The sequence below is a fragment of the Homo sapiens genome, chromosome 7 (genome assembly GCF_000001405.40).
Source record: "Homo sapiens chromosome 7, GRCh38.p14 Primary Assembly".
Taxonomy (NCBI): Eukaryota; Metazoa; Chordata; class Mammalia; order Primates; family Hominidae; genus Homo; species Homo sapiens.
This window is the reverse complement of record NC_000007.14, coordinates 151,765,181-151,790,358: the sequence shown is the minus strand read 5'-3', so window position 1 is coordinate 151,790,358 and position 25,178 is coordinate 151,765,181. Positions and strand designations below refer to the sequence as shown.

At 50.3% G+C, this 25,178-nt stretch overlaps 1 protein-coding gene across 17 annotated transcripts in view, besides 4 other annotated features; it reads left to right on the top strand.

Annotated features, from left to right (window-relative positions):
- PRKAG2 (protein kinase AMP-activated non-catalytic subunit gamma 2) overlaps nucleotides 1-25,178 on the top strand; it is a 320,989-nt gene that overhangs the window by 86,757 nt on the left and 209,054 nt on the right. For 15 of the 17 annotated variants that reach the window (NM_001407031.1, NM_001407030.1, NM_001407023.1 and 12 more), the window contains 2 exons: nucleotides 3,818-3,889; nucleotides 8,928-9,207. The exons of 1 other annotated variant lie outside the window; for it this stretch is intronic. In NM_001407031.1, the coding sequence (NP_001393960.1) occupies nucleotides 3,818-3,889; nucleotides 8,928-9,207 (352 nt within the window). Of the gene's footprint in view, nucleotides 1-3,817; nucleotides 3,890-8,927; nucleotides 9,234-25,178 lie in introns of all 17 variants that reach the window. One more of the 17 variants, NM_001407033.1, reaches the window with a different exon arrangement.
- Nucleotides 4,663-5,552: an enhancer, noted in NCBI's record as "H3K4me1 hESC enhancer chr7:151481893-151482782 (GRCh37/hg19 assembly coordinates)". NCBI's record gives its function as "activates a minimal SCP1, AML or CMV promoter by ChIP-STARR-seq in naive H9 embryonic stem cells {active_cell/tissue: H9 hESC(naive)}" and the evidence as "EXISTENCE:reporter gene assay evidence [ECO:0000049][PMID:30033119]".
- Nucleotides 5,553-6,442: an enhancer, noted in NCBI's record as "H3K4me1 hESC enhancer chr7:151481003-151481892 (GRCh37/hg19 assembly coordinates)". NCBI's record gives its function as "activates a minimal SCP1, AML or CMV promoter by ChIP-STARR-seq in naive H9 embryonic stem cells {active_cell/tissue: H9 hESC(naive)}" and the evidence as "EXISTENCE:reporter gene assay evidence [ECO:0000049][PMID:30033119]".
- Nucleotides 7,174-7,273: a silencer, noted in NCBI's record as "silent region_18825". NCBI's record gives its function as "represses an Ori minimal core promoter by ATAC-STARR-seq in GM12878 lymphoblastoid cells {active_cell/tissue: GM12878}" and the evidence as "EXISTENCE:reporter gene assay evidence [ECO:0000049][PMID:35858748]".
- Nucleotides 7,384-7,473: a silencer, noted in NCBI's record as "silent region_18824". NCBI's record gives its function as "represses an Ori minimal core promoter by ATAC-STARR-seq in GM12878 lymphoblastoid cells {active_cell/tissue: GM12878}" and the evidence as "EXISTENCE:reporter gene assay evidence [ECO:0000049][PMID:35858748]".

Sequence of the window (25,178 nt, the reverse complement as noted above, 5' to 3'; positions counted from 1 at the left end):
AAGAGATAATTAATTCTGTCTGAGGGTGACTCTCAGCCAGAGAGTGTGTTTGACTTGGGCTTTGCAGGACACATAGGAGTTTACTCTGTGAGCCAGGATTTGGGGACACGGAGCAGGAAGAGCAAGAGGAAGGAAAGAGAGCTCAGAGGAAGGAAAGGGCTTGGGGTGTTTGGTGAATGGCACCAGGGTGATTCCTGCATTGCTATGGGCCGGGCTTCATGCTGGGGGCTGGGGATGGGACCCTGGAGCTGTCCCTGAGTGGCTGAAGCAAAATGAGAGCAGTTCACAGGAGGGGTGGATGGTAGCCATGAACAGAAGTGTCTGAGGAGTTAAGACAGCATTCCAGGTGGGATGTCCATGGATGCATAGCTGTGTTTGGAAAATGACAAACCCTCTGCCTGGGCTGTTGCTGAAAGGAGGAGACCGGAACAGAGAACATCAGAAATAAGGCTGCGGAGGTCAGTTCATCTATGGGGCTTGGGTTGCAGCCTGCAGGGCCGGCTGGGAGCTCCTGACTGTGTCTGAGACTCCTGAGACTCCTCCTTGGGAGGCACGCAGCTCTCCATCTGGTCTGTGGTGGAATTTCCAAATGCCCTCGCTGTACCGCAGGCCAGTGCACTCTACCCATGCTCCCCAGGTGATGTCAGTGTGCAGCCAGGGCTGAGAACTTTGGAGATAAACACCACCAGAAAGGCTGAGTCTGGAATCTGCACATCTGAGATCTCACTGGCGTGTCTCAGTCAGCCAGGCCTGGAAGCCATTGCTGAGGTGACGGTACGAGTGGCTGGGGCCTTAGCAGGGGGCTGACGTGATGAGGCTCACCCTTTCAGGGGTTGCTCTTTAAGCAGAGACTTGGAGCACAGATCCAAACAGGGAAGGCTGAACAATTTGGACAATAATTAGGTGGCCCAAGAGGGAACTGGGTGAGAGTGGGTGTAGGCCTGGACCCCCAGGGCAAGGACGTGGAGAGAAGGGAATGGGTTAAAGAAAGGTTAAGTGCACAGAACACTACAGAAGGAAATGAAAGGTGGAAATGAAAGAAGACACGCAAATAAATGAAAACACATCCTATGTTTATGGATTGGGAGGCGATATTGTTAAGAGGTCAGGACTACCCAAAGTGGTCTATAGATTCAGTGCAATCCCTATCAAAATCCCAGTGGCATTTTTTTCCAAAAACAGAACAATTAGTCTATCCTAAAATTCATGTGGAATCTTAAGGGACCCTAAATAGGGAAAATAGTCTTGAAAAAAAGAAGAACAAAGTTGGAGGTCTCACATTTCCCAATTTTAAACTTACTATAAGGCCACAATAATCAAAACAGTGTAATACTACCATAAAATACAGACATATAGACCAATGGAATGGAATGGAGAGCCCAGAAATAAACTCTCAGAGATAAAGTCAAATGACGTTCCACAGTCATGCCAAGACTATTCAACTGGGAAAGGACCATCTTTTCAACAAATAGTGCTGGGAAAACTGGCTATCTACATGTAAAAGAATGAAATTGCACCCTTACGTTTATACCATATACAAAAATTTACATAGGTCAAAGACCTAAATATAAGAGCTAAAACCATAAAATATAAAACTCTTAGAAGAAAACATACGGGAAAAGCTTCATGACACTGAATTTGGCAGTGATTTCTTGAATACAACACCAAAAGCACAGGCAACAAAAGGCAAATTAGATAAATCAAAGACTTCTGTACATCAAAGGACACAGCAGAGTAAAAAGGCAACCCACAGAATGGAGGAAAATATTTGCAAGTCATGTATCTGATAAGGGGTTAATAACCAGAATATATAAACAATTCAACCACAATCAACCCAATTAAAAAATGGGCAAAGGAGTTGAATAGACATTTCTCCAAACAAGATAGACAAATGGCCTGAATGGACATTTCTCCAAACAAGTCAGACAAATGGCCTGAATAGACATTTCTCCAAAGATGATAGACAAGTGGCCGATAAGCAGATGAAAAGATATTCAACATCACTAATTATCCAAGAAATGCAAATCAAAACCACAATGAGATACCAGCTCACGCCCACTTAAGATGGCTGTCACAGAAAACAAAGACCAAAGATAACAAGTGTTGATGAGGATGTGGAGAAATTGAAACCCTGTGTACTGTGGGTGGGAAAGTAAAATGGGGTGGCTGCTGCAGAAAACAGTTTAGTGGCTCCTCAAAAAATTGACAGTAGGATGACCTGATGTCCAGCAGTTCCACTTCTGGGGATAACTGGAAAGAATTGAAAGCAGGGTCCTGAAGAGATATTCGTACACCTATTATATTGGTTTGCTAGGCTGCCATAGCAAAGCACTACAGATTAAGTGGGGTGGCTTAAACAACAGAAATATGTTTTCTCATGATTCTGGAGGCTAGAAGTCTAAGATCAAAATATCAGCAGGGTTGGTTTTTCTGGGGCCCCTCTCTTTGGGTTGGTAGCTGTCTTCTCCCTGTGTCTCTATGTGTGGTCTCTGTCTTGTAGGTGCCTGTGTCCTAATCTCTTCCTTGAAGGACACCAGTCATATTGGACTAGGGCCCACCTTAATGACCTCATTTTAAATTAATTGCCTGCTTAAAGACCCTATCTCCAAATACAGTCACATTCTGAGGTCCTGGGGGGCAGGACTTCAACATATAGATTTTTTTTGGTGGGAAGGGAGACACAATTCATACCATAACACTCATAGCAGCGTTATTCACAATAGTCAGAAGGTAGAAGCAACCCAAATGTCCATCAACTGATGAATGCGTAAGCGGAATGTGGTCTACTCATACAATGGAATATTATTCAGCCTTCAAAAGGAAGGGAACTGTGGCACACACTACCACCTGGAGGAGCCTTGAAGACATTATGCTAAGTGGAGTCAGACAGTCACAAATACTGCCTGATGCTACTTATATGAGGTACCTAGAGTGGTCAGATTCAAAGAGATAGGAGGGTGGTTGCCAAGCACTAGGGGGAGGGGGAGGGGGAGTTAGTGTTTGATGGGAACAGCGTTTTGGTTTGAGAAGATGGAAAGGTTCTAGAGATGACAGTGGTGACGGCTACACAGCAGTGTCAATGTGCTTCATGCCACCAAACCGCACACTTAAAATGGTTGAGATGGCAAATTTTATGTTATGTGTATTTTACCACAACTAAAAACTTTAAAATGAAAAAGAAAGGTTAGGGATGCAGCTGTGCCCGATTTGAGGATGACTGGGCAGGATTCTGCCTGGTGTGGAGGCAAGATTCAAGAGGAAGAAGGGGCAGGGCTGTTTCAGACACAGTAAGTGTGTGGTGAGCTACTTTCCCCAAATCTATTTTAGACTCTGTTTTGGCCACGATGTCATTAGACTCTGCTAATAGTTTTGCCTCAGCCGCCACCCCAGTGTCACCCTCCCCATCCCTGTCCCATCATCTTCCTAGGCAGACACATGTCCCTGGACCCATGTTCCGTGCTGTGGGGTAAAATCATGTCCATCAGCAGAATAGCCTGAGACGGGCTCTCCTCCCTCCACCCTTTCTGCCTGCCTTCCTGACTCCTTTAGTCCCAGCCATTTCTTCTTTCCTCCTTCCCTGGGGTGTTGGGAGGTCATGGCTGCTCCTGGAAGTTTGACTGCACGTTCTGGAAGCGGATGTGCATGGTGGTCAGGGGCTTTGGGGGCTGGGTGTAGCAAACACGTCCACATCCCTTCTTCATGGTGGATTTGAAGGATAAGGTCTCAGGAAGGGGGAGGTGACACCCACGTAGAGTTCCATGCAGCCCCTGGGCCCGAGGGCCACTGTCACTGACCACGTGCTCTCTGTCCACCCTAGGACCTGAGCTCCTTCGCCATGCCGCTCCTGGACGGAGACCTGGAGGGTTCCGGAAAGCATTCCTCTCGAAAGGTAAGACCTCCTTTCCAGAAGTTTCTCACAGCTCACTTGAGGTGCCACGGAGGCAGGCAGAGCCTGAGCCCACTTCCACCTGTGTGTTCACCCTCACGCCCACCCGCATGTCCGCTTGCACACCTGGCCGTAACCGAGCCCATCCTGCGACAGCTCACCTCGCATGGCCAAGCCTGGCGTATCGGCCGGGCTATCCCACTAGAGAGCCTCCTGGGCTTCACCCCTTTTTCTTCTCCTCACGTGGCACTGACTGTGGCCCACTAGACCCCCCTAACATGGGCAGAGGCAGTGGAGGAAGATGAGCAGTGAGCTAAGCCCGGTGGAAGGTATCGGTCACTGCCGACCATCTGTGGTCTTTGGGCTGAGTTCGACTGGCAGGACTTTGCCCTGCTGCCCACCAGCGCCCACCCCCAGCGCTGGGCTCTCTCCTTCCACCTCGTGTTGCACCCTCTCCACACGCCTTTTTCTCTCTTTCCACTTTTCCTTTCCTCTCTTTAGCTCCTCGCCGTCCCTCCTGCACTGGTGAATTTCCCTCCCATTAGGAAACTAGTGTCTCGAGGAGGTTGTTGACTGTGTAGGGTCAGGTGGCCAGAAAGAGTGTGGGGTGGGGTGGGGGGCTCTGGAGAGGGAGCCACAGCATCAGGTGAGGGTCGAGGTGGCCGTGGCAGGGCGCAGAGGTCCAGGCTGCTTGCAGGTTTCTCCTGCAGCCAGGAAGTAAGGGTGGGTGGAGGCCTGGTAGGGGACGTGCTTCCTGGCATTCTGCCACCCACAGACCCCTCCGGCAGGTGACAGCAGACAGAGCTAGTGATCTGGGGGCTACGTACAGGGTCTGGGATGGGTTCTGGGTGCCGGCTAGCCTGGGATGAAGGCAGGAGTTCCCATGCTGGAAAAAGCAAATCTCCTCTTTAAGCATTTGAATTACACACAACTGAATCAAATTGGTGTCGGCCTGTGGGGCTCCACTGGTGCCAGTGCCCTCCCCACCCTGCCCTGAACAAGCAACCTTATTAGCAGCTCTCGTGGCCCATCCAGCAAAGACTGCCAGGGAATGGCCTTGAGCTTCTGGGCCAGCAGAGAGTGGAGTGGCAGGAAGGGGCCACCAACCCCGTGCAAGGCTGTGGGACCAGCCCCGCGGGCACTGGGTCGTCTTCCTCCTGTTTGACTCTGCAAAACCCTTCTTTCCAGTGAAAACCTTGCACGGAAGATCTGAGAGTGTGGGAGAGACACAGGGGCCACAGCCAGGCCCTGGCCCCAGCTTCCTCTCTGGCAGCTGCATGACAAATGGCCCCATAGGCAGAGCTCTGCTCCGCAGACGGCTGAATGCCTGCTCTCCATTAGCTCTGCGGAGCCAGGCACACACTTGGGAGTCTTGTCAATACCCGGGGAATCATCCGGTTGCATTCACCAACATATCATTTGGCTATAGCTTGCCCAAGAGCAAGGCCTGAGGCCCTGTCCCTGGTGGCTTCAGCTGGCGCCTGTTATCTGCACCGCCACGCAGCCCACCCCAGCAGGCCTGTCCCTCCGCCTGGCTTTCCCACCGTCTGGGAGTGTGATCTGGCCCCCAAGGTTCCCGGTGAGAGGGGTCAGACAGGGCCCAGCATCCAGCATGCTTCGGCCATTTTCCAGAGACAGGACTGGCAGGGCTGCTTCCTAGGGCTCCCTCCTCAGGCCTGATCCCTGGATGCCCGACTCCACTGGCCTGGATTCAGAATACAGAATGGAACCCCATTCAGGATAATCCTGGGGTCCCCCTTGCTCATCAAATATGGTTAAACTGGCCTTTCATGACTGGTTCTCCAGGGGCTCATGGCTCAACTTCCCCCGTGACCCCCACCCTCATGGTGGCCCAAGTGAATGGCCGGCCCTCTGTCTCTGTGCTTCAAACCCCTTCTCCTCTGTCTCTGGGCACTGGACACCTCCCCGGCCCTGTCACTGCGTCTCTGAAGCCTAGCCAGCTGTCAGGGCCTCCTCTGGGTCAGGGCCTCTGTTAAGGGGCAGGTTTCAGCTCCGGGCCATTTATCCATCTGCATGGTGCTTATGGTGCTTCGGCCTTGTGGGCACTCTGCAAGCTCTCCTGGGGCCCCGCTCCCCTATGTGTCTCTGTTTCCCTGTAGGACTGGACATTTGCATTGGCTCGGCCCTCTCCCCCGGCTCCCCAGCAAGCTCCCTATGCTGTAAACAGAGCACGTCCATGCACCAGGTCCGGGCTCACCTTTCCAGCAGCTCCAAAATCCCACCCCTCCCTCCGGTCCTCCCATGTGGCCTCGGCTCCTCTTCCGGTTCACACCCTCGAGGCTGCTGTCGTGATTGTCTCAGCCCTGGGAACGAGGCTTGGACAACCAAGTCGTTGTCCACATTGCGGGAAACTGAGCTGTGACCAAACCCGGGCCTCCACCCAGGACCAGCTTATGTCACCTTGTGATAGGACCACCCTGGTGCCTGTGTGTGTTGTTCCTACTGGCTTCTCTCAGCCCCCATCCCACCCTAGACCTGCACACACAGCACCCACCACTTGAAGAAGAACCTCTTTTTTTTTTTTTTTTTTTTTTTTTTTGAGACAGGGTCTTGCTCTGTACCCAAGCTGGCTGGAGTACAGTAGTGTCACCTTGCTCACTGCAACCTCCACCTCCATCTCTGGGGCTCAAGTGATCCTCCCACCTCAGCTGCTTGAGTAGCTGGGACTACAGGCCACCACACCTGGCTAATTTCTGTATTTTTTGTAGAGACAGGGTTTTGCCATGTTGCCCAGGCTGGTCGAGCTCAGGTGATCCACCCACCTCGGCCTCCCAAAGTGCTGGGATTACAGGTGTGAGACACCACCCCCTGCCTGAAGACTCTCTTGTTTGTAAATTTATTCTCAGGATTTGTCCTGATTCCCATAGTTAGGTGGAATAGTGGCTAACTGGGATATTCTATAAACAGAGAATCTAAATGCTTTTCATATTAAATGGTCAAAAAAAAAAAATCAGCTGGGCATGGACAACTGTAATCCCAGCTACTCAGGAGGCTGAGGTAGGAGGATTGCTTGAGCCCGGGAGGTGGAGGTTGCAATGAGCTGAGATTGCGCCAGTGCACTGCAGCCTTGAGCGACAGAGGGAGACCCTGTCTCAAAAACAAAAAACAGAACTACACAAAAAAAGAAAAACTCAAAACTTAGCTTGAGTTACAAGGTCCTATAGCACCACACTCTTCTTCCTGCCGGGCCCACTCACGAAGGTGTCCGCGCCAGGCCGGACCTACACCTCCACGTGGCGGCGCCGGCTCTTTCGGCTGGAGAGGCCGCGCGGGGAGGCTGTGCTGCGCGGGTCCACGCCACGGGCATCCTATCCTCCCGGGGCCGCGGGCTCGGGGCTTGGGCCGCCCTCTAGTGGCGGAAGAACGTCCCCAGGCCGCGGTCCGGACAGCGCACCCCGTGGTGGGACAGAGAGACCCCGAAGTGGCACCGAGGCTGCCTGTGGGGTGTCCTGTGTTCCCTTTTCAGCACAGCGCGGCCGCCCGAGGGCAGTATTTCCCGCGTCTGCCCTGGTCCTGGCTCCCCGCGAGCGCTGCGGACGAGTTACTCGCCCTTCTTGCTTCTGAACTGGGTCATCTCTGAGGTCCTTTCCACTCAGTGTTGCTTGCAAGTTTCCCAAGTGGTAGGACAAGAGCTGTTTACCACGCACCGTGTGCTTCCTGGCCTCACGCGGCTTCATCTGACGTTCAAGCAGCCCTTGAGGTGAGGGCACGGCCATCCTCATTTTACAGATGAGGGAGCTGAGGCTCGGTGAGACCAAGTAACATGCCCAGGTTGGCTCAGCAGGTGGCAGAGCAGGGGCCAAATACCGGCACCCAGAGGCAGGGCAGGAGCTCCTCCACGCATCCAGCAGGAACACGGCTGCGGGCACGTGAGATATTTCTCAAAGTCTGCTATGAGCTCTGTGCCTTGGCTTAAAGTTATGGGGTCTGATAATTTTTTAAGCCATGACTAGAATTTTAAATCATTGGTGAAGTGAGTCTCAGAGGTTTGGGGCTTTGTTAACTTCCTTCTTTCCTTCTTTCTTTCCTTCCTTCCTTCCTTCCTTCCTTCCTTCCTTCCTTCCTTCCTTCTTTCCTTCCCTCCCTCCCTCCCTCCCTCCCTCCCTCCCTCCTTCCTTCCTTCCTTCCTTCCTTCCTTCCTTCCTTCCTTCCTTTCTTTCCTTTCTCTTGAAATGGAGTCTCGTTTTGTTGCCCAGGCTGGAGTGCAATGGCGCCATCTCGGCTCACTGCAACCTCCGCCTTCGGGGTTCAAGAGATTCTCCTGCCTCAGCCTCCTGAGTAGCTGGGATTACAGGCGCCCGCCACCATGCCCAGCTAATTTTTTTTTTATTTTTTTATTTTTAGTAGAGATGGGGTTTCACCATGTTGGCCAGGCTGGTTTCAAACTCCTGACCTCAGTTGATCCACCCGCCTCGGCCTTCCAAAATGCTGGGATTACAGGCGTGAGTCACCGTACCCGGCTGGCTTTGTGAACTTTTCTCCTGACTTCTGTTGGCAACCTCAGTCTTTCAAATGCTGAAGCAGCTTGGAGGTGAAAAATTCATCATCACCTAGGACTGAGGTCTCAGGATGGAGCTCCAGGCCCGCTCTGTTCTGGAACATAGGGATCTTATAGGCAGGCAAGAGGACTGCAGTCCTGTGTGGTCAGAACTTGGATGGACGTGAGGTCTTGAGAGGTGAAGGCAGGCAGGCCCATAATAAAGGAGGGAGACGCTCATTTTGAGCTCCGCTTCCCTTCCTCCCCTCTACCTCCTGGAAGCCCCTTCTAAGGAGTGGGACAGGATGGTCAGTGGACCTCCAGGACGTGGTGCTGCCAGCCTGTGAGGGGCCATCCTTGGGGCAGGTGCTACCTGCAGACCATTCAGTGGCTACCTCTGTGGAAGAGCTTAGGGCTGTTTCTCTGGGAGGGTACTATGGGGGGCCCGCATGTGAGAGAGGACAATGATAAGTTTCATACAGGGCAGGAGGCAGCGTGTCCAGAGCGTGGAGTGACTGCATCCATTCGTCTGTTTTTCTGCAGGTGGACAGCCCCTTCGGCCCGGGCAGCCCCTCCAAAGGGTTCTTCTCCAGAGGCCCCCAGCCCCGGCCCTCCAGCCCCATGTCTGCACCTGTGAGGCCCAAGACCAGCCCCGGCTCTCCCAAAACCGTGTTCCCGTTCTCCTACCAGGAGTCCCCGCCACGCTCCCCTCGACGCATGAGCTTCAGTGGGATCTTCCGCTCCTCCTCCAAAGAGTCTTCCCCCAACTCCAACCCTGCTACCTCGCCCGGGGGCATCAGGTTTTTCTCCCGCTCCAGAAAAAGTAAGACCTTGATGCTATTGTTTCAGGTGGGTGCTGGGGTGCTGGGGGTCTCTTCTGCAGCCACACATCCACGGTGGCACCGAAGCTGCCAGGTGGCTGTGAGCAGCTTGGTGCTGAGTGCCTGTATCTGTTTCTCCCCACCCCCACTTCCCCCTAAACAAATCTCTCTCCAGAACATCAGTTTCCACCTGTCACTTTCTTCCCATGCTAATCTATCAAAGCGTAATCCTTCTGGTCCAGCAAGGTCCTTGGGTTAACTGTAAACATCCTGATACTCACAGTACAGCTTGTATGGACAATCAGATGACACACTTGCCTCCAGCCTTCTCTGGAAACTGCAGGCATGGAGCCAAGCTTAGGCCCTCACCCGGGGCCACGGGACCATACTGCTTTGGTCAGCCTGATATGGCTTCCACTCTCTGTGGTTTGGTATTTGAGGGTTTGACTACACCTGTTTCTGGCAAATCCTAACTTTTTCTGTTTGGGGCTCTGGGCAGCAGGGAATGGAAGCTAGGAGGGATTTGCTGGGGAAATGGAAGGAGGAAATGTGAGTGTTTAAGAAAGAGTTCCGTAGGTTCATTAGTGTTTGTGATCTGAGGATAAGGTATTTTCATTTGAGCGCCGTCGATGATAATATGAAATATACCACGAACTAGAAAGTTTATGGCGTTTACTTTCTCCTTTCCTTTGTCTATTCTTTCCAGTTCTTTCTACTGACTTAGAACATTTGTATTGGGGAAGATAGTGATGTGGAAAACAAATTTGTCCTTGACCATCAGAGGCCTGGGATAGTTCACCTTTCTCTCCAGGCTGACTTTTACTCAGAAAGACTGGCAATACTGTGTGTTAGAGCAACGCTTTATATCTGCAAGGCCAGGCGGCAGCAAGAGGGGAATTTCGGTGTTTCTGACTTCGAACTCTTCCATCAGGCAGCAGTGGCTGTAGGACGAGAAGCCAGGTCTCTGTCAGCCTCACTACTTCATCCACCACCTTGGAGGTGGAGGGGATGGTGGCCGTATTCTGTGTGAGTGGAGCAGATCTATCTCTTGGACAGATTTTGCACTTCGTCTTTCTACATAAAACAAATGAAGGTGCTCCCGCCTGTGGGTTGTGTGTGTGTTGTGGGGGGCAGGTCCTGACCATGCTCTACACACACCCCTCACTCAAGGCTGTGGGGTTGTCACAATTTCCTTTAAGTTTGTGCACTTTAGCCTTAAGGTGCCCCTTTCTTTCCCCATCTCCTTGTATAAACATCGTCTAGAGATGAGGGATCAAAGTGCTGTACAGAGGAAGGAAATCAGGCCCGTCCTGATGGGAAAGCTGCGTGAGGGCTCCACGTCACACAGGTGGGATTTGTCAAAGAGAAGGAGGATGTGTGCGCAGTTTGCCTTGTTGGGGAACTTGCGATGTTGTGTAGATTGAATGTGCTGGAATTGGTGGATGAAAAGACAGGATTCCTGCCTTCAAGGGCTCCTAGTCAGAGGCAAGCAGGCTTCAGAAGAAAGGACGAGATTGTCTCCATGGTACTGCCTGTGCTCAGTTAGGACAGGGCAGGCTTTCTGAGCGGGGCGGAGAGCAGCACAGGGAACCTGATGATCGGAAGGGTGCCCAAAGGAGTGTAGGAGCTGTGAGCTGGCTCCCATGGGAAGGTCTTGAAGCTCTGGCAGGAACCATCACCCTCCGCCTCCCTCTACATCATTCTCCTGCACAGAGCCCTCCATGGGGGTGGGAGGAGAGGGTGAGAGGGAGGAGCGGGGAGAGGAGGAGGAGGGTCCCTGCAGGCAGAGGGTCCCTTTGGGAGCCCAGCAGTGGCACCAGGAGGTGCAGGAGAAGTTGTTCAGTCCTCAGGGCCTAGGCTGCAGCTCAGTACAGCATTTGGTGGGAGGTTTGGTGCTGTCCACTGTTCAGCCTGGGAAATGAGCTGTTCTTTTAGAAACTGGGTCTGGAAAAATCTCTTTTTGAAACCATATCAATTTCTTAAAGTATTCCTCCTTTTCACTATCTTTCATTGTTATTTATGTTTAGATTTTCAATCTCTTTCAACTGTTTTCTTTCAGTAACTGACAGAATTGCAGACAGACAGATAATCAAAGCTAGAAGGGACTGTAAGGAAAGCATTTATGGGGGAAGAAAGCATATGCATATAATAATTTGAACACAGCATATATGGGTGTGTGTGTGTGTGTTTTGGATTTGTATAGATGTATGTGTGTATGTATGTGCATATATGTATGTGTGTACACACATATATACCTTTTTTATTTTTTAAAAGGACATGCATTGGACTGCTAGTGGTAGCTTCTAAGTGAAGAATTAGGAGTGGATGGGTGGAAGGAAAATGTTGCTTTATCTGATATTCCAATTTTTTGAGACTAGCTTCACTTATTGGTAATTAAAAATGAATACATCTTGAAAAAAATGTCAAGCTCCCAGACCTGAGCTTTGGGGCGGTGGCGAGATGTGGAACAGAAGTTGCGGGTGTTGGTAACAGCAGAAGAAAGAGTTGAGCCACCAGGAATGCCTGGGGACAGCCAAGGCCCCGTGCTCAGCCTTAAGGGCTAGCTGGGGAATGCTGGGATGTAGCAGGGCTTGGAGAAGGCATGGGGAGAACCTACAGATGGCTGAGTGTGGAGGTCCAGGATGGGAGGCGGTGTTGCTCCATTTTGCATTGCTATAAAGGAGTACCTGAGGCTGGGTCATTTATAAAGGGAAGAGGTTTATTTGGCTCATGGTTCTGCAGGCTGCACAGAGGCATGGTGCCAGCATCTGCTTCTGGGGAGGGCACAGCCATCCAGTGGGAGCCTCATGCCCACTGCACAGATAAAACCAATTCACCGAGATCTTGGTATTGTAGTAAAATGTTTAATGTGAGGCCAGCCACATGGGAGATGGAGCTATCACTCAAATCAGTCTCCCCAAAGGCTCAGAGCTTAGGGTTTTTATGGACAATTTGATGGGCAGGGGGCTAGGGAACGGGCACTGCTGATTGGTTGGGGATGAGATCACAGTGGTGTGGAAACGGGCCTCCAGCACTGAGTCGGCCTCTAGGTGAGGGCCACAGGGTCAGCTGAGTCATGAGTCATGGGTCTGGGTGGGGTCCATTGGTTGCCAGAATTCAAGTCTAAAAAATTATCTCAAAAGACCAATCTTAGGTGTTAAATAGTGATACTATCTACAGGAGCAACTGGGGAAGTTGCAAGTCTTGTGACCTCTGGCTCCATGACCCCAGAGCAGTACGAGATCATAGAAACTACACCTGCATGTTAGCCCGGTTCAGGCCCCTCCCATAATCCTAATCTGTGGTCTTTCATTCATCTCACAAAGCTGGTTTTCAGTCCCTGAGCAAGGAACAGTTGGTTTCAGGGAGGTACTATTATCATCCTTGCTTTCAAATTAAACTATAAACTAAATTCCTCCCTTTGTTAGCTTGGCCTCCGCCCAGGTAATGAGCAAAGCCAGCCAGCCTGTGAGGCTGGATGCAGGATGGAGTGGGCCAGGCTGGACCTTCTCCTGCTGTCGTGATCTCTGCCAAGGTGTTTGCAAGGGCTTCAGGCTGCTTCCACTCATGGAGGAAGGCGAAGGAAAGCCGGGGTATGCAGAGCTCACACGCAAGGGAGCAAGAGAGAGGGGGGAGGTACTGGAGTCTTTAAAGCACCCAGCTAAGAGAGCAGGACTCACTGCCGCAGGGAGGCAACCCAGCCATTCATGAGGCATCTGCCCCCAGGACCCAAACACCTCCCACGGGGCCCCACCTCCAACACCGGGGATCCAATTTCAACCTGAGAGCGGGGAAGAAACACTCAACCTCTATCAGAGGTGGATCCAAGACTCCCAGCCCCTCTGGATCTCAGCGGGTCCCAGCAGACACTGTGCTCACAGTGAGGGAACGCAGGCACAGGCCTGGGGATGACTCTGCTGGTGTCCACATGGGGTGCTGCCGCAGTGAAGAGCTAGACCTCGGGGCCCATGCTGAACCTGGCCATGGCCCCTTCCATTGGGGCCTGTGGTCTGCACAGGAGGAAGCTCCCAGACTCCCCTCCACCCTTTCCTTAAAGCCAGGGGCCGAGACAGGCAGGTGGAGTCAGAGAGTGAGTCCCCCAACCCATCTCCTGTACTGCAGGAGCTCCAGCTGCGGGCTGAGGAATGTGGGGGCTGTACCTTCGGGAGGCCTCACCCCGGCAGTGTCCAGCACCCAAGGGGTCCTGGGGATGAGGCTGGGGCTCAGAAGCAGAGACTGTGAGGCCCCTGATCATCCTCTGCAATGTACCTGAAGGCCTCATTGCTGGGTAGGGGCCCACAGTCCACTCATAGCTCCACACCCCTGTGCCCCTAATCCACACACTGGGGTATATGAGCCCCTCAGCTACCTCTCATTCCAGAAACTTAAAACTGCTGCTTCCTCACCTAGGGTGCCTGCACTGCCCCGGCTGGGCCTGCCATCTGCGCCTTCCTCCAGGCCTGAGTGTGGTCTGTGAGCTCAGTGAGCCTGTGAATTGCTTTTTTCCTATGGCAGAAGTGCAGACAGCTGCGAAGGGAGCGGGACCTGGGGCTGCCTGCTGGGGCCCGTGTGTACCCGGGGCCTGGGCCCTCCCTTGGGACACAGGGAGTCAGGCACTGCAGCTCTTTATTGTTGGTGGACATGGTGGGACGTTGGCCACTGAAGACAGGCCTGACTCCTGGCTCCTTTCGGCTGCCTTTTTCTGTTGAGTATTTCCAAGGCCCTTCAATGTCCTTGGTAGAAAATCCCCAGGTTCACTCTTCTGGCTTGTCAGGTACTATGGAGAAGGCAGAGCCTGTTACAGCCCGGTTACACCATCGGGGTAGACAGCCAGGGGCCGGGCTCAGGAAGGCTATGACATGGCTCTCAGCTACTCACAAGGGCAAGGATTGATTAGGTTGGGGTGGGGGCATGGCTTCTTCAGAGAAGCCCCCTGGGATGGGGAGTTCAGAACAGAGCAAGCCTGGTCCCCAGGGCAATTGCTCATGTTGGTGCCCTTGAGAATCAGTGAGGCCAGCTCCTTGGCTTTCCCTGAAAGAAGCCATCCCTCCCCGAGCCCTATGGCTGATAAGGCACGAAGCTCCAGGTCTCTGTGCTGTGGTGTTACTTGACTGGGAGGTCACCCTGAGCTCCTTCCAGATGGCCGTTCATTTGTGCCTGGCATGAGGCTGGCCTGGAGGAGGCAAAATCTGTCTGCTTTTCTCCGTACTTGAAATCTATTCCTGGATCAGGGTTCCCAGACTGTAGATTGCTCCCCCACTGCCCTAGAACTAACTTCATGAAATTGAGCCTGTGAGTAATGCCATCGGCCCATCTGGAGGGTCTTGGGAAGAAACAGCCCCGTGAAAGCCACTGTGTCCACTGGAGGGATGTCATGAAGACTTCGTTCATTACACAAGGCCCCTGGGAGGAACTTGCTGTCTGGTCTTGGTACCAAGAATAGCTGAACTTCTGATCAACGGGACTGCTTTTGTCTCTAGCAGACATTAATCGTGTAATAGCGCATTTCCTCTGTCTGCACTGGCTGCTAGAAGCCTTTGAACCAAATCTGGACAAAAGGCATTAAGGGATACATTTCCAGCCTTTCTGAATCCAGTTTTCGTCCCTCTTCTTTTATATTCACACGACCACTTTTTTAACAAGCAAACAATGTGTTGGAAGGATTTGGGGGCATTTACGGAATTCCAAAAAGAGCTGAACCCTCAGGACTCAGGAAGGGAAGGAACCAGACTGGCCCTGAGGCCTCAGCAGCAAGAATTCGTGGATCTTTCCAAGAGATCCAGAGAAGTCCTAGTCTGTGTCTCTCTCCATTTACTGTCCTAAATGCCTTGTCGCAGGATATCTGATTAGCCCAGTTAGGATCCCTGAATCAATCAGGGCGGGGTGGGGGGTAGGATCACGCAGGAGAAACAGAATGACCAAGAACCAGGAGGTAGGGCGGGAAGTTCCAGGATAAGAGGTCCAGTTGGCAATCCAAAGGGGACTGTGGCATCCCACCCTCCTTGGCCAGCATGTGTGCATGCACGCAAGGATGCCCTCATCACACGTGGCCCAACGAGCCTACATACAATTGTGTAAGCTGCTTCCCCCATGGAGGGCGATGCAGCCTCACATCCAGCCTTGACATTAAGGAGGATGTGGCTATGATCCCCTGTTTTCTGAGTCTTCTGTCTCAAGGTAATGCCCACTTCTCCTCATGTTCTATTTGCATCTCATCTTTCTGTCCTATAATTTATGGCCTACATGACAAACATAGAATCTAAAGTGTTGACAGGCTCCTCAGGTAATACTGATATACACCAGAGCTTGATAAGCACTGTTTTCTTTCTTTTTCTTTTTTGTTTTTTTGAAATGGAGTCTCACTCTGTCACCAGGCTGGAGTGCAATGGCGAGATCTCGGCTCACTGCAACCTCCACCTCCTGGGTTCAAGCGATTCTCATGCCTCAGCCTCCTGTGTAGCTGGGATTACAGGCGCCCGCCACCACACCTGGCTAATTTTTGTATTTTTAGTAGAGACAGGGTTTCGCCATGTTGGCCAGGCTGGTCTCAAACTCCTCACATCAAGTGATCCATCTGCCTCAGCCTCCCAAAGTGCTGGGATTACAGGTGTGAGCCACTGTGCCTGGCCGATAAACACTGTTTTATATTATTAAGGGGAAAGAAAGCAGGAAGATGAAAATTATGATCACTGTCATTTCAGAGGGAGAAATGAAAAAGGAAAAAGAGGTAATTCAATCTTCTAAGACACTCTAAGACAGGAGGGGGAACACAGATGGGGACCATGGTTCTGGATTCCACAGCTGATCTTGGGACCAGCAAGTACCTAGGCTGGCTGGTGTTTTTTGCCCAGGGAAGAGAACCAGACCTTTCTTCTGGAAGGATCTTACCTCTCAGAGGCTGCCTGTATGGAGTTGCCGTAGTCTTTCACTAACATTTGCCTCTGGTCAGAGGTACAGTAGCGTGAGGATTCGTAGTGTGGCTGGCGTTCTCATCATACTCCTAGCCACCATGGAATATCAAACCTACTTCCCTTTGATGATCAGAGTCAAACACCCCAACCAAAACAATGCCCCACTTTTCCGTCTCTCCCTCTAATGCAGCAGTCAGCAAATGACAAAATCAGCCCCGGGACAAAATCTGGCGTGCCACCTCTTTTTGTAAACAAAGCTGTCATGGAGACACAGTCACGCCCATCTGTGTGTTCCTCTCCTGCCGCTTCCACACTTCAACAGCAGAACTGAGCAGGTGCAACAGAGACCCCATGGCCTACAAAGCCTGAAATGTTTACCTGGCTGACCTTGTGCCACAAGAATTATTACGTGGCTGAGTGGCTGCAGGAGCTTCCAGAACAGTGAATCTTTAGCTTCAAAAGATTTTGCAAGTTGGTTTAGGGTGATCTTGCCTTTGGAGATGAGGAAAGGAAAGTGCATGTCTGTGTGTTCATGAACTGCCAATAATAAGATTAAAGTCTTTTAAAAAAGCAAAAAGAATCTTACACAGTCAGCAAGGCAGGACCTCCAGAATGATCTAATGTCGTGTTGCTAAATTTTGCTCCTTATAAAAGTCTGTGTGTGTTCTAAGTGCATTGTATGTAATTCTTTCAATCTTCATAGCAACTCTTCTATTTGTACAATGTTTACCAAACTAGAAACTGAGGCACGAGGGCTTAAGTTGTGGAACAAAGGCCACACAGCTACCAAGTGGTAAAGCCAAAATGTGAAGTCAGGTGGTTGAACTCCGAAGTCCACTTTTAGTCCAGGTGCTGAGACTCTGCTTTAATGGAATAGATCTTAGGGATCTATAAACCAATAATGGGATAGCCAGCTAGCCATTTACGAAAAAATAGATAAAAGTGGCTCCTTGGTCATTTCTCTCTCTTTCTTTCTCTTTCTTTCTTTCTTTCCTTCTTTCTTTCCTTTCCTTTCTTTCCTTCCTTTCTTTCCTTTCTTTCTTTCCTTCTTTCTTTCCTTCCTTCCTTCCTTCCTTGCTTCCCTTCCTTCCTTCCTTTCTTCCCTTCTTTCCTTCCTTTCCTTCCTTCCCTTCCCTTCCCTTCCCTTCCCTCCCTCCCTCCCTCCCTCCCTCCCTCCCTCCCTCCCTCCCTCTCTCTCTCTCTCTCTCTCTCTCTCTCTTTCTTTCTTTCTTTCTTTCTTTCTTTCTTTCTTTCTTTCATTCATTTAGAGACAGGGTCTCTGTCATCCAGGCCAGAGTACAGTGGCAGAATCACTGCAGAGCCTCAACTTCCCAGGCTCAAGCGATCCTCCTGCCCTTTGCCCGCAATAGGTGGAACTGCAGATGCACACCACCATGCCTGGTTAATTTTTTAACTTTTTGTAGAAATTGGGTCTCAGTGTATTGCCCAGGCTAGTCTCAAGCTCCTGTACTCAAGCGATCCTCCCACCTCAGCCTCCCAAAGTGCTGGGATTTAGGTGTGAACCACCACACCTGGCTCTTGGTCACACCAAAATAATTTCCGTGTGGAACTAAACTTTAAGTGTTTTAAGTAATGTACCTCCAAAACATTTGAATATCTAAATCTTGGGATGTCAGGCCTTTCTAGAAGGTGCAAAAAATATGTTTGTTTGTGATATAAATATCCACAGCCTTTCTTGCCTTCTCTCAAAGTTTGCAGGCTTGATTCTCAGAGCTTTGCTATATTGATGAGGTAGAGGAGAGCTGGATGCATTCCTGTTAGAAAGAATGAAGAATGTCTAAGAGAGAAATGCATAACGGGGGTCCAGGTGAGTGAAGGGAAGATTCTAGAAGGTGAGTTTTGGTTGGAGAAGATTTTGGAGAGTTTGGGAGCGTCATACCAGAGATTGAAGCCCAGTTCTTGTGCTGTGTAGGATGGTGGGAGAGGGATAGAAGAGATGACCCCCTGAAAGGGGCATTATGTGTGTTGGGAATATAAGCACACCGCTGGCTCCCAGGCAGCCTCTCCAGACACCTCTTCAGATTTCCTGAAAGGACTCACCTTAGTAGAAAGGCCTTCCTTTGACACCCTGGGTAAAGTAGTAGCAATCTCCTTGCAGGCATCTACACTACTGATTCCCCACAGGATATACTGTCTATTTACTGGTTCACTTGCCTGTCTCTCCCCACCAGAGTGTAAACTGTCTGAGGACAGGAATTCTGTTTTATTCAAAGCTTTCTCAGGGTCTAGAATGGCGCCTGAAGGCACTGAGCAAATTGTTTGAAATTAATTCACCAACAACTTAACTTGTTTTTCAATGCTTTCTAAAATGTGGGCTGATGCTTCTGAATACAAGATGATGGCTATACTGACCCAGGGATTTCAGTGGGTCATATGTAAGCCCGACCGGGTCCAGAAACTGTGAAGGGACAGAGGCAATTATCATTGATGACATCAAGATGACCACTTCCATACAGCTTCCCACTCCAAATAGAAAATGAAACAAAACAACAATATAAACGTGAAAAACACGTGCTAGACCAGAAGGAGATGATGAATTGATGGAGGACTAATATCCCTAATGTACAAAGATATTTACAAACCAGTGAAGCGAATGACTCAATGGCCTGAGTCTTGGAATCGAAAGTTTTAACAGGCTCCTCAGGTGATATTGATATATACCCCAGAGCCTGAGACTTCTAGGAAAGATGGCATTGTGTGTACTGCATGCATACAAAATGATTCCTCCCACAGTTGTTCAGATACAGCAAAAGGACACGGAGCTCTCTGGCTTTGGAACAGAGTGCAGGAGGAAAGGAGGAAGTGGAATAATCCCTAAGCACCCACCTCCCATTCCACCACCAGCCTCACTCCAATTTAATGGTGCTGAGTTTGGGACGTGGGGATTTTGAAAGCATCAGCAGACTTGGAAAGACAAGAAACGTGGTGCTGATAGAAGTGATATAATGTTTTATTTTAAAATGCCAAAAATGTAAAGCGGAAATCGAAATTTTAGCTAAGGGAAAAGCATAAAGAATAACATAGCTGGAATGAAGATAGGGTAAAAATCATGCATGTAATGAGATTACTTTCTATGTTCTTACAGTAGTAGAAATCAGGCAGATCTTAGAGCCTGAAGTAAGGAACAGAGGAGGGCTGGTTATTTTTGTAAGCAACCTATACATTGTGGGCAGATAATTTGATCATGCTTTGGCATAATTTCTGCAATGGTAAATGTGTGAGGTCATAAGCCCACAGTGCTGCTTGAATCTTAGGGAGCCTGTGGTTGCACTGGAAAATGGTCAACACAAGACCCAACCGTGGCTGGAACCCCTACTTCTCAGCCTCTGCAACGCTTAATGCTAAAGTCGGGGATGGGGCGTGGGGCATGGTGGTTTGTTCACTGGGTTCTCCAGGAGGGAGGCCACTTTCTATCTCACCCCCCTACAGCTCCAGGTCGAACTCCTAAAACCCAAGAGACAGGGCTGCTCTGAGACTGGTTGATGTGTTTTCAATACATGTGCTATTTGTAGGTCACTCCATAAGAATCAAGCTCCCCAGAAAACCTGCGAGACCTCAGAGCCCTCACTCCTCCCAGCACACCTTGCTCAGTGACCAGCAAAGTGTCAGTTGAAGAATGATAAGGTTCCTACATTTGGAAAGGATCACTTCTTTAAAAAGGCTGCAGCCAGCAGGTCACCATTCTGACAGGCTGGGAAGCATAGTCTCTAGCCAGATGCTGGAAACAGGCACTGCGAGAGTGGAAGACAGGGATTTATGCTGAACAGCGTGGCCAAATGTACATATTCAACAGGTTATAGGAGGAGCTATGAATATTCACAAAGAGGAAGCATAGACATGCATAATTGGCTAATTGTGTGCAGCATGCATCCATGTTCACGCTGGGGTGGAGACTTAACCTTTAAATGGATTACAGTAGGCCCTATATGTCAGAGGGTGAAGCCAAGGATGCGAAGACTGTCTGTGTGCAGCCTCCATAGGCTAGTCAGAGCCACTCCATGGTCAGGGGTCTCTTATCAGGAAGGAATGCTGGTCGGTTGTGTCGAACCTGCAAAAGGAAGGGGCAGCATCAGACAGCTGGTTGATCTCAGGAATGGAGCAAGTCTTTCAAAAGGGCAGGTTTCCATTTAACCCTTGGGGAAGGAAGCCTAATGGTGGTTAGCAAGGGAGGGGGTGTAATGAGGCACATCCGACCTCTCATCCCATTATGGCCGGGAACTCAGTTTTAAGGTTTTTCTGGGGTCCCCGTGGCCAAGAGGGGGTTCTTTCAGTTGGTTAGGGGCTTAGAATTTTAGCTTTATTTCTCAAAAGGTACTGAATTTGGCCTCCGTGGTCCCTAGCAGTGGACACACGCACTCTGGGGCCAGCAGGTTAGGTGCCCACTCTATGGGGTGGGGGTGCACCCTCGGCCATGTCAGCCCAGCACCCCAGCCCCGCAAGCAGTGCCACCTGCCCACCTCGTGTTTCCGCCACACCTCCCCAGATGCGGCTGCAGCATCCGTGCCTTCATGGCCCACAGGTTAGTTTCAGGGGCTGTCACACAGGCACCACAGGCTGCATGGCCTAAGCTGCCCGGATTCCTGTTCCCACAATTCTGGAGGCTGGAAGTTGGAATCAGGGTGTCAGCAGGACCATGCTCCCTCTGAAGGCTCTGGGAGGGCTCTGTTCCAGGCCTCCCTCCTAGCTTCTGGCAGTTGCCCACAAACCCTGGGGTTCCTTGGCTCGTAGATGCGTAACTTCAGCCTCTGCCTTCATCATCCTGTGGCCTTCCTCTGTGTGTGTCTGTCTCTTTTTCTTTTCTTAAAGTGACAGCAGTCAAAGGAGATTAAGAGCCCACCCTACTCCACTGCGACCTCAACTTAAGTGACTACATCTGCAATGACTCTGTTGCCAAATAAGGTCACCTTCTGAGGTTCTGGAAAGGAAATGAATTAGTGGGGGCACTGTCTAACCCAGCGCAGTCTACAACCACAGCATCAACTGCATTCAAAGTTCCTGGGCCATTTTCTTTGATGTTTACTTTCACTTGTCTTCTCTTCTTTGCTTGACTGAGGTTTGTTCACAGCCTTTCTGCCTGGGTTAGTTTCTTCTTGTGACTCTTAAATGCAGTAAAACACTGTAGAAAGCTGCCTGCCCAGCACAGCTGACACAGCCCTTTGGTAAAACCAGATAGCATCATTGCTCCCTGCACTGGGGGGACACCCTCCATGGAGCTTTGGAGCATCTCAGGGGGACAGGAAGGCCACAGTGCATTAGAACTCCAAGTCTGTTGAGGTCTTGCAAGTGGGGATTGGATTAGGAGTGGGTAAGAATCATGACACAGTGGCCCAGGATGGGAAGAAAGAGCAAGGCTACAGAGTCGCTGTTTCTTCAGGCACGGGCTGTCCTTGTCCATTGACTTAGTCCTGGCACCAACTGCAGCCTTCTTGGTCTGTTTGGAAAAATCTTGAAGACTGGCCAGGTGCAGTGGCTCACGCCTACAATCTCAGCCCTTTGGGAGGCTGAGGTGGGCAGATCACTTGAGCCCAGGAGTTCAAGAGCAGCCTGGCCAACATGGCGAAACCCTGTCTCTACTAAAAATATAAAAATTAGCCAGGTATGATGGCATGTGCCTGTAATCCGAGCTACTAAGGGAGGCTGAGGCAGGAGGATCGCTTGAACTCAGGAGACAGAGGCTGCAGTGAGCCAGGATCGTGCTAGTGCACTCCAGCCTGGGCAATAGAGTGAGACTCTATCTCCAGAAAAAAAAAGAAAGAAAGAAAGAATAGGAAGAGAGATCTTGAAGAACAAGAGTTCTAAACTTTATTGATGAAGCTTCTGATTTATTTAAGCTTTGCCGTTGCTAATGGGGTTTTGGTGGGGTCATTGCAGGCGTATTCCCCTTACCTCAAGAATATCCTAAAATTTGGGCAGGAAGTTTGGCCTCATGAATGATGACAAGGGGCTGCATGATACAGCCTAGAAGTTTGGGGGAGTTTAGCTCTCCACAGAGTAATACTTGACCAGTAGGAACTGTGGCTTTGAGGAAGCTGGGCAGAAACCTCCTCCTTGATGATGGCTATGGATCCCCCCACATATAGTTCCTTTCTAGAACCCTCCTGGAGGAGTCCCATGAGCCAAGTGAACATGCTTTCTAAGCTCCCCTGCTCTTTATTCTGATTATTATGTTATTATTTGCAGCTTGTCATGCATCAGCAGCCAGCATGACAACTCATTTCATTGCTGCTTCTCCTGCCCTACCTCACCTTGATCTTAATCCTTGCCTCAGGCTCTGCTTCTAGAGGAAAATGGCTGAGAGAAAAAGGAGGCTGTGGAGAAATGAGAATCTCTGGGCAGCAGCACTTAACTCTGGCTCCATAATCAGAATAAGAGGAACCAGAGCTTTTGGCCAGTTCTTCCTTTGAGCAGGTCTAAGACAGAAACATTTGGTTTCAAAAAAGTCAGTGAGTAATGACTCACGTCACAGAGTGACTTGCCACAGGATTTAACAATTAGCTGGTACTCTTTGAGCCTCACTCACATGCACTGATATCTAAGCGAGTGTGGATGACTACAAATCATGACAGGTGTATTCATTTGGTAGGGCCACTATAACAGCACCACAAACTGCGTGCATTAAACAACAGAAGTTGGCTGGGCATGGTGGCTCACGCCTGTAATCCCAGCACTTTGGAAGGCCAAGTCGGGCCAATCACTTGAGGTCAGGAGTTTGAGGCCAGCCTGGCCAACATGGTAAAACCCCATCTCTACTAAAAATACAAAAACTAGCCGCACATGGTGGCAGATGCCTGTAATCCCAGTTACTCGGGAGGCTGAGGCAGGAGAATCGCTTGAACCCGGGAGGCAGAGATTGCAGCAAGCTGAGATCAGGCCACTGCACTCCAGCCTCGGTGACAGAGTGAGACCCCATCTTTAACAAAATAAAACAAAACGGGAGTTTATTATCTCAAGAGGCTGGAAGTCTGGAATCAGGGTGTGGGCAGGGCCGGCTCCTTCTGAGGCTGTGAGGGGGTCTGTTCCATGCGTCTGTTCTTTCTCCTGGTCTGTGCTGGTCATCACTGCCATTCCTTGGCTTGGAAGCACAGCCCCCAGTCTCCGCCTTCATCTTCACAGAGGTTTTTCCATGCACATGTCTCTGTGTTCAAATTTCCCCTTTTTCTAAGGAGACTATCCCTATTGGACTACGGGACCCTCTGACTCCAGTATAACCCTCATCTCAGCTAACCACATCTTCAATGACCCTACTTCCACATGAGGTCACGTTTGGAGGTGCTGTGAGTTAGGATTTCAACATGTGACTTTTGGAGGGACACAATTCAACCCATGACATAGGACTATCAAGGAATGGATATGTCCTGCCTTCTCCACGATTGATGTGCTGAATGGAACAACACAGGCCGTAGGTACGGACAGAGTTGGAGAAAGATGAGTTAGTGGTAGGCCGGACTGGCTCGGAGAGGTGTTGTGATAAATGGAGACACTTTAGCGGGCCTTGACGGATAAATGAGAGGGAGCCTCCCACACAGTAGCAGACCCCACTGTCTTCAGGTGTCTGTGAACTTGCAGTCCTCTGACACCTTTTTCTTGAAACACACTAGTGCCTGGGCATAGGTCATCCCCAGTCCCCCTTTCTAAAGTGGCCTGAGCCAGTGTTCCAAATCAGGGTGATAGCTGGTCTCAGCACTCTGCTTTTACTCTCTCCTGGGACTTATCCACGATCTGGGCGCCTCGCCTTTGGTTTTCTCCTTTTTAGTGAGATGAACATGTCTGTTGTTACTGAGTACAGGTTGTTGAGTGAACTGTGTTTGAGCTTCACTTCCCACCAACCTCCCACCTACCATTGTTGACTCCAAAATGTCTCCTTTTGACAAGACTCTTCCTGTAAGTTTCTCCCCCACCTCACTTCTTCCCCGTTCCTACCATCATTTAAAGGAAATAGATTTTGATAAATGGGCTTTACTGCTGTAAGTGAAGTTGGAAGAACAAAGGTTTCAGATCTGCAGCCCAGCCGAGTCCTCGTGCAGCGCATATGTGAGAAGTTACAGTGACACCTCTGTGTCCTTTGGGAGATTTTGGCATGGGCTGAGTGTTCTTTTGGTCCATTGTGTTCCCATTCACACAGTGTCACAGATAAAGGAGATGAATTGAGTCTGAAATTGCTGTTTATTACAGTTCCTGGAGATACTATAATACCTGAGTAGGATCTGCACACAATAGCCACTCAAAACCATTATCAGATGAATCACCTGTCAACGTTAGGAAGGTCCCCAATCCAGACACATGATGCCATCATCAGCATCAGGTTAGTGGGTCAGGAGTGCCAGGGGTCACACAGGAATGAAAATCAAGTTATCAGGCCAGGGCTAATTGGGGAATTAGACAAGATGAAGAATTTATTTCAGGTGCAATTAGATAGAGTTTTAAAATACACTGTAGGATTTCATTTAATCCTATAGTAACTGTTAAGGGTTGTATGATGTTCCCGGCAAAAATGGTTTGTGGAAGTCCTGACCCCCAGGACCTCAGAATGTGACCTGACTTGGAAATAGGGTCATGGCAGGTGTAATTATTTAAGATGAGGTCATTCATGTGGGCCCTCAGTCCAGAATGACTGGTGTCCTTAAAAGAAGGCCCAGTGATGACGGAGACCCAGGGAGCTGGTGGAGCTGAGACGGGGATGCCCTGGTGCCTGTGATCCCTGAAGCTGCAGGGCAGAAAGGGCTCCCCCAGGTTTCAGATGGTGATATGGTTTGGCTTCTTGTTACCACCCGAATCTCCTGTTGAATTGTAATCCCCACATGTTGGAGGAGGGGCCTGGTGGGAGGTGATTGAATCGTAGGGGCAGACTTCCCATTGCTATTCTGGCGATAGTGAATGAGTTCTCACGAGATCTGGTTGTTGAAAAGTGTGTAGCACTTCCCCTTCACTCTTTCCTTCCTGATGCCATGTAAGACGTGCCTGCTTCCTCTTCACCTTCTGCCATGATTGTAAGTTTCCTGAGGCCTCCCCAGCCATGCTTCCTGTAGAGCCTACAGAACTGT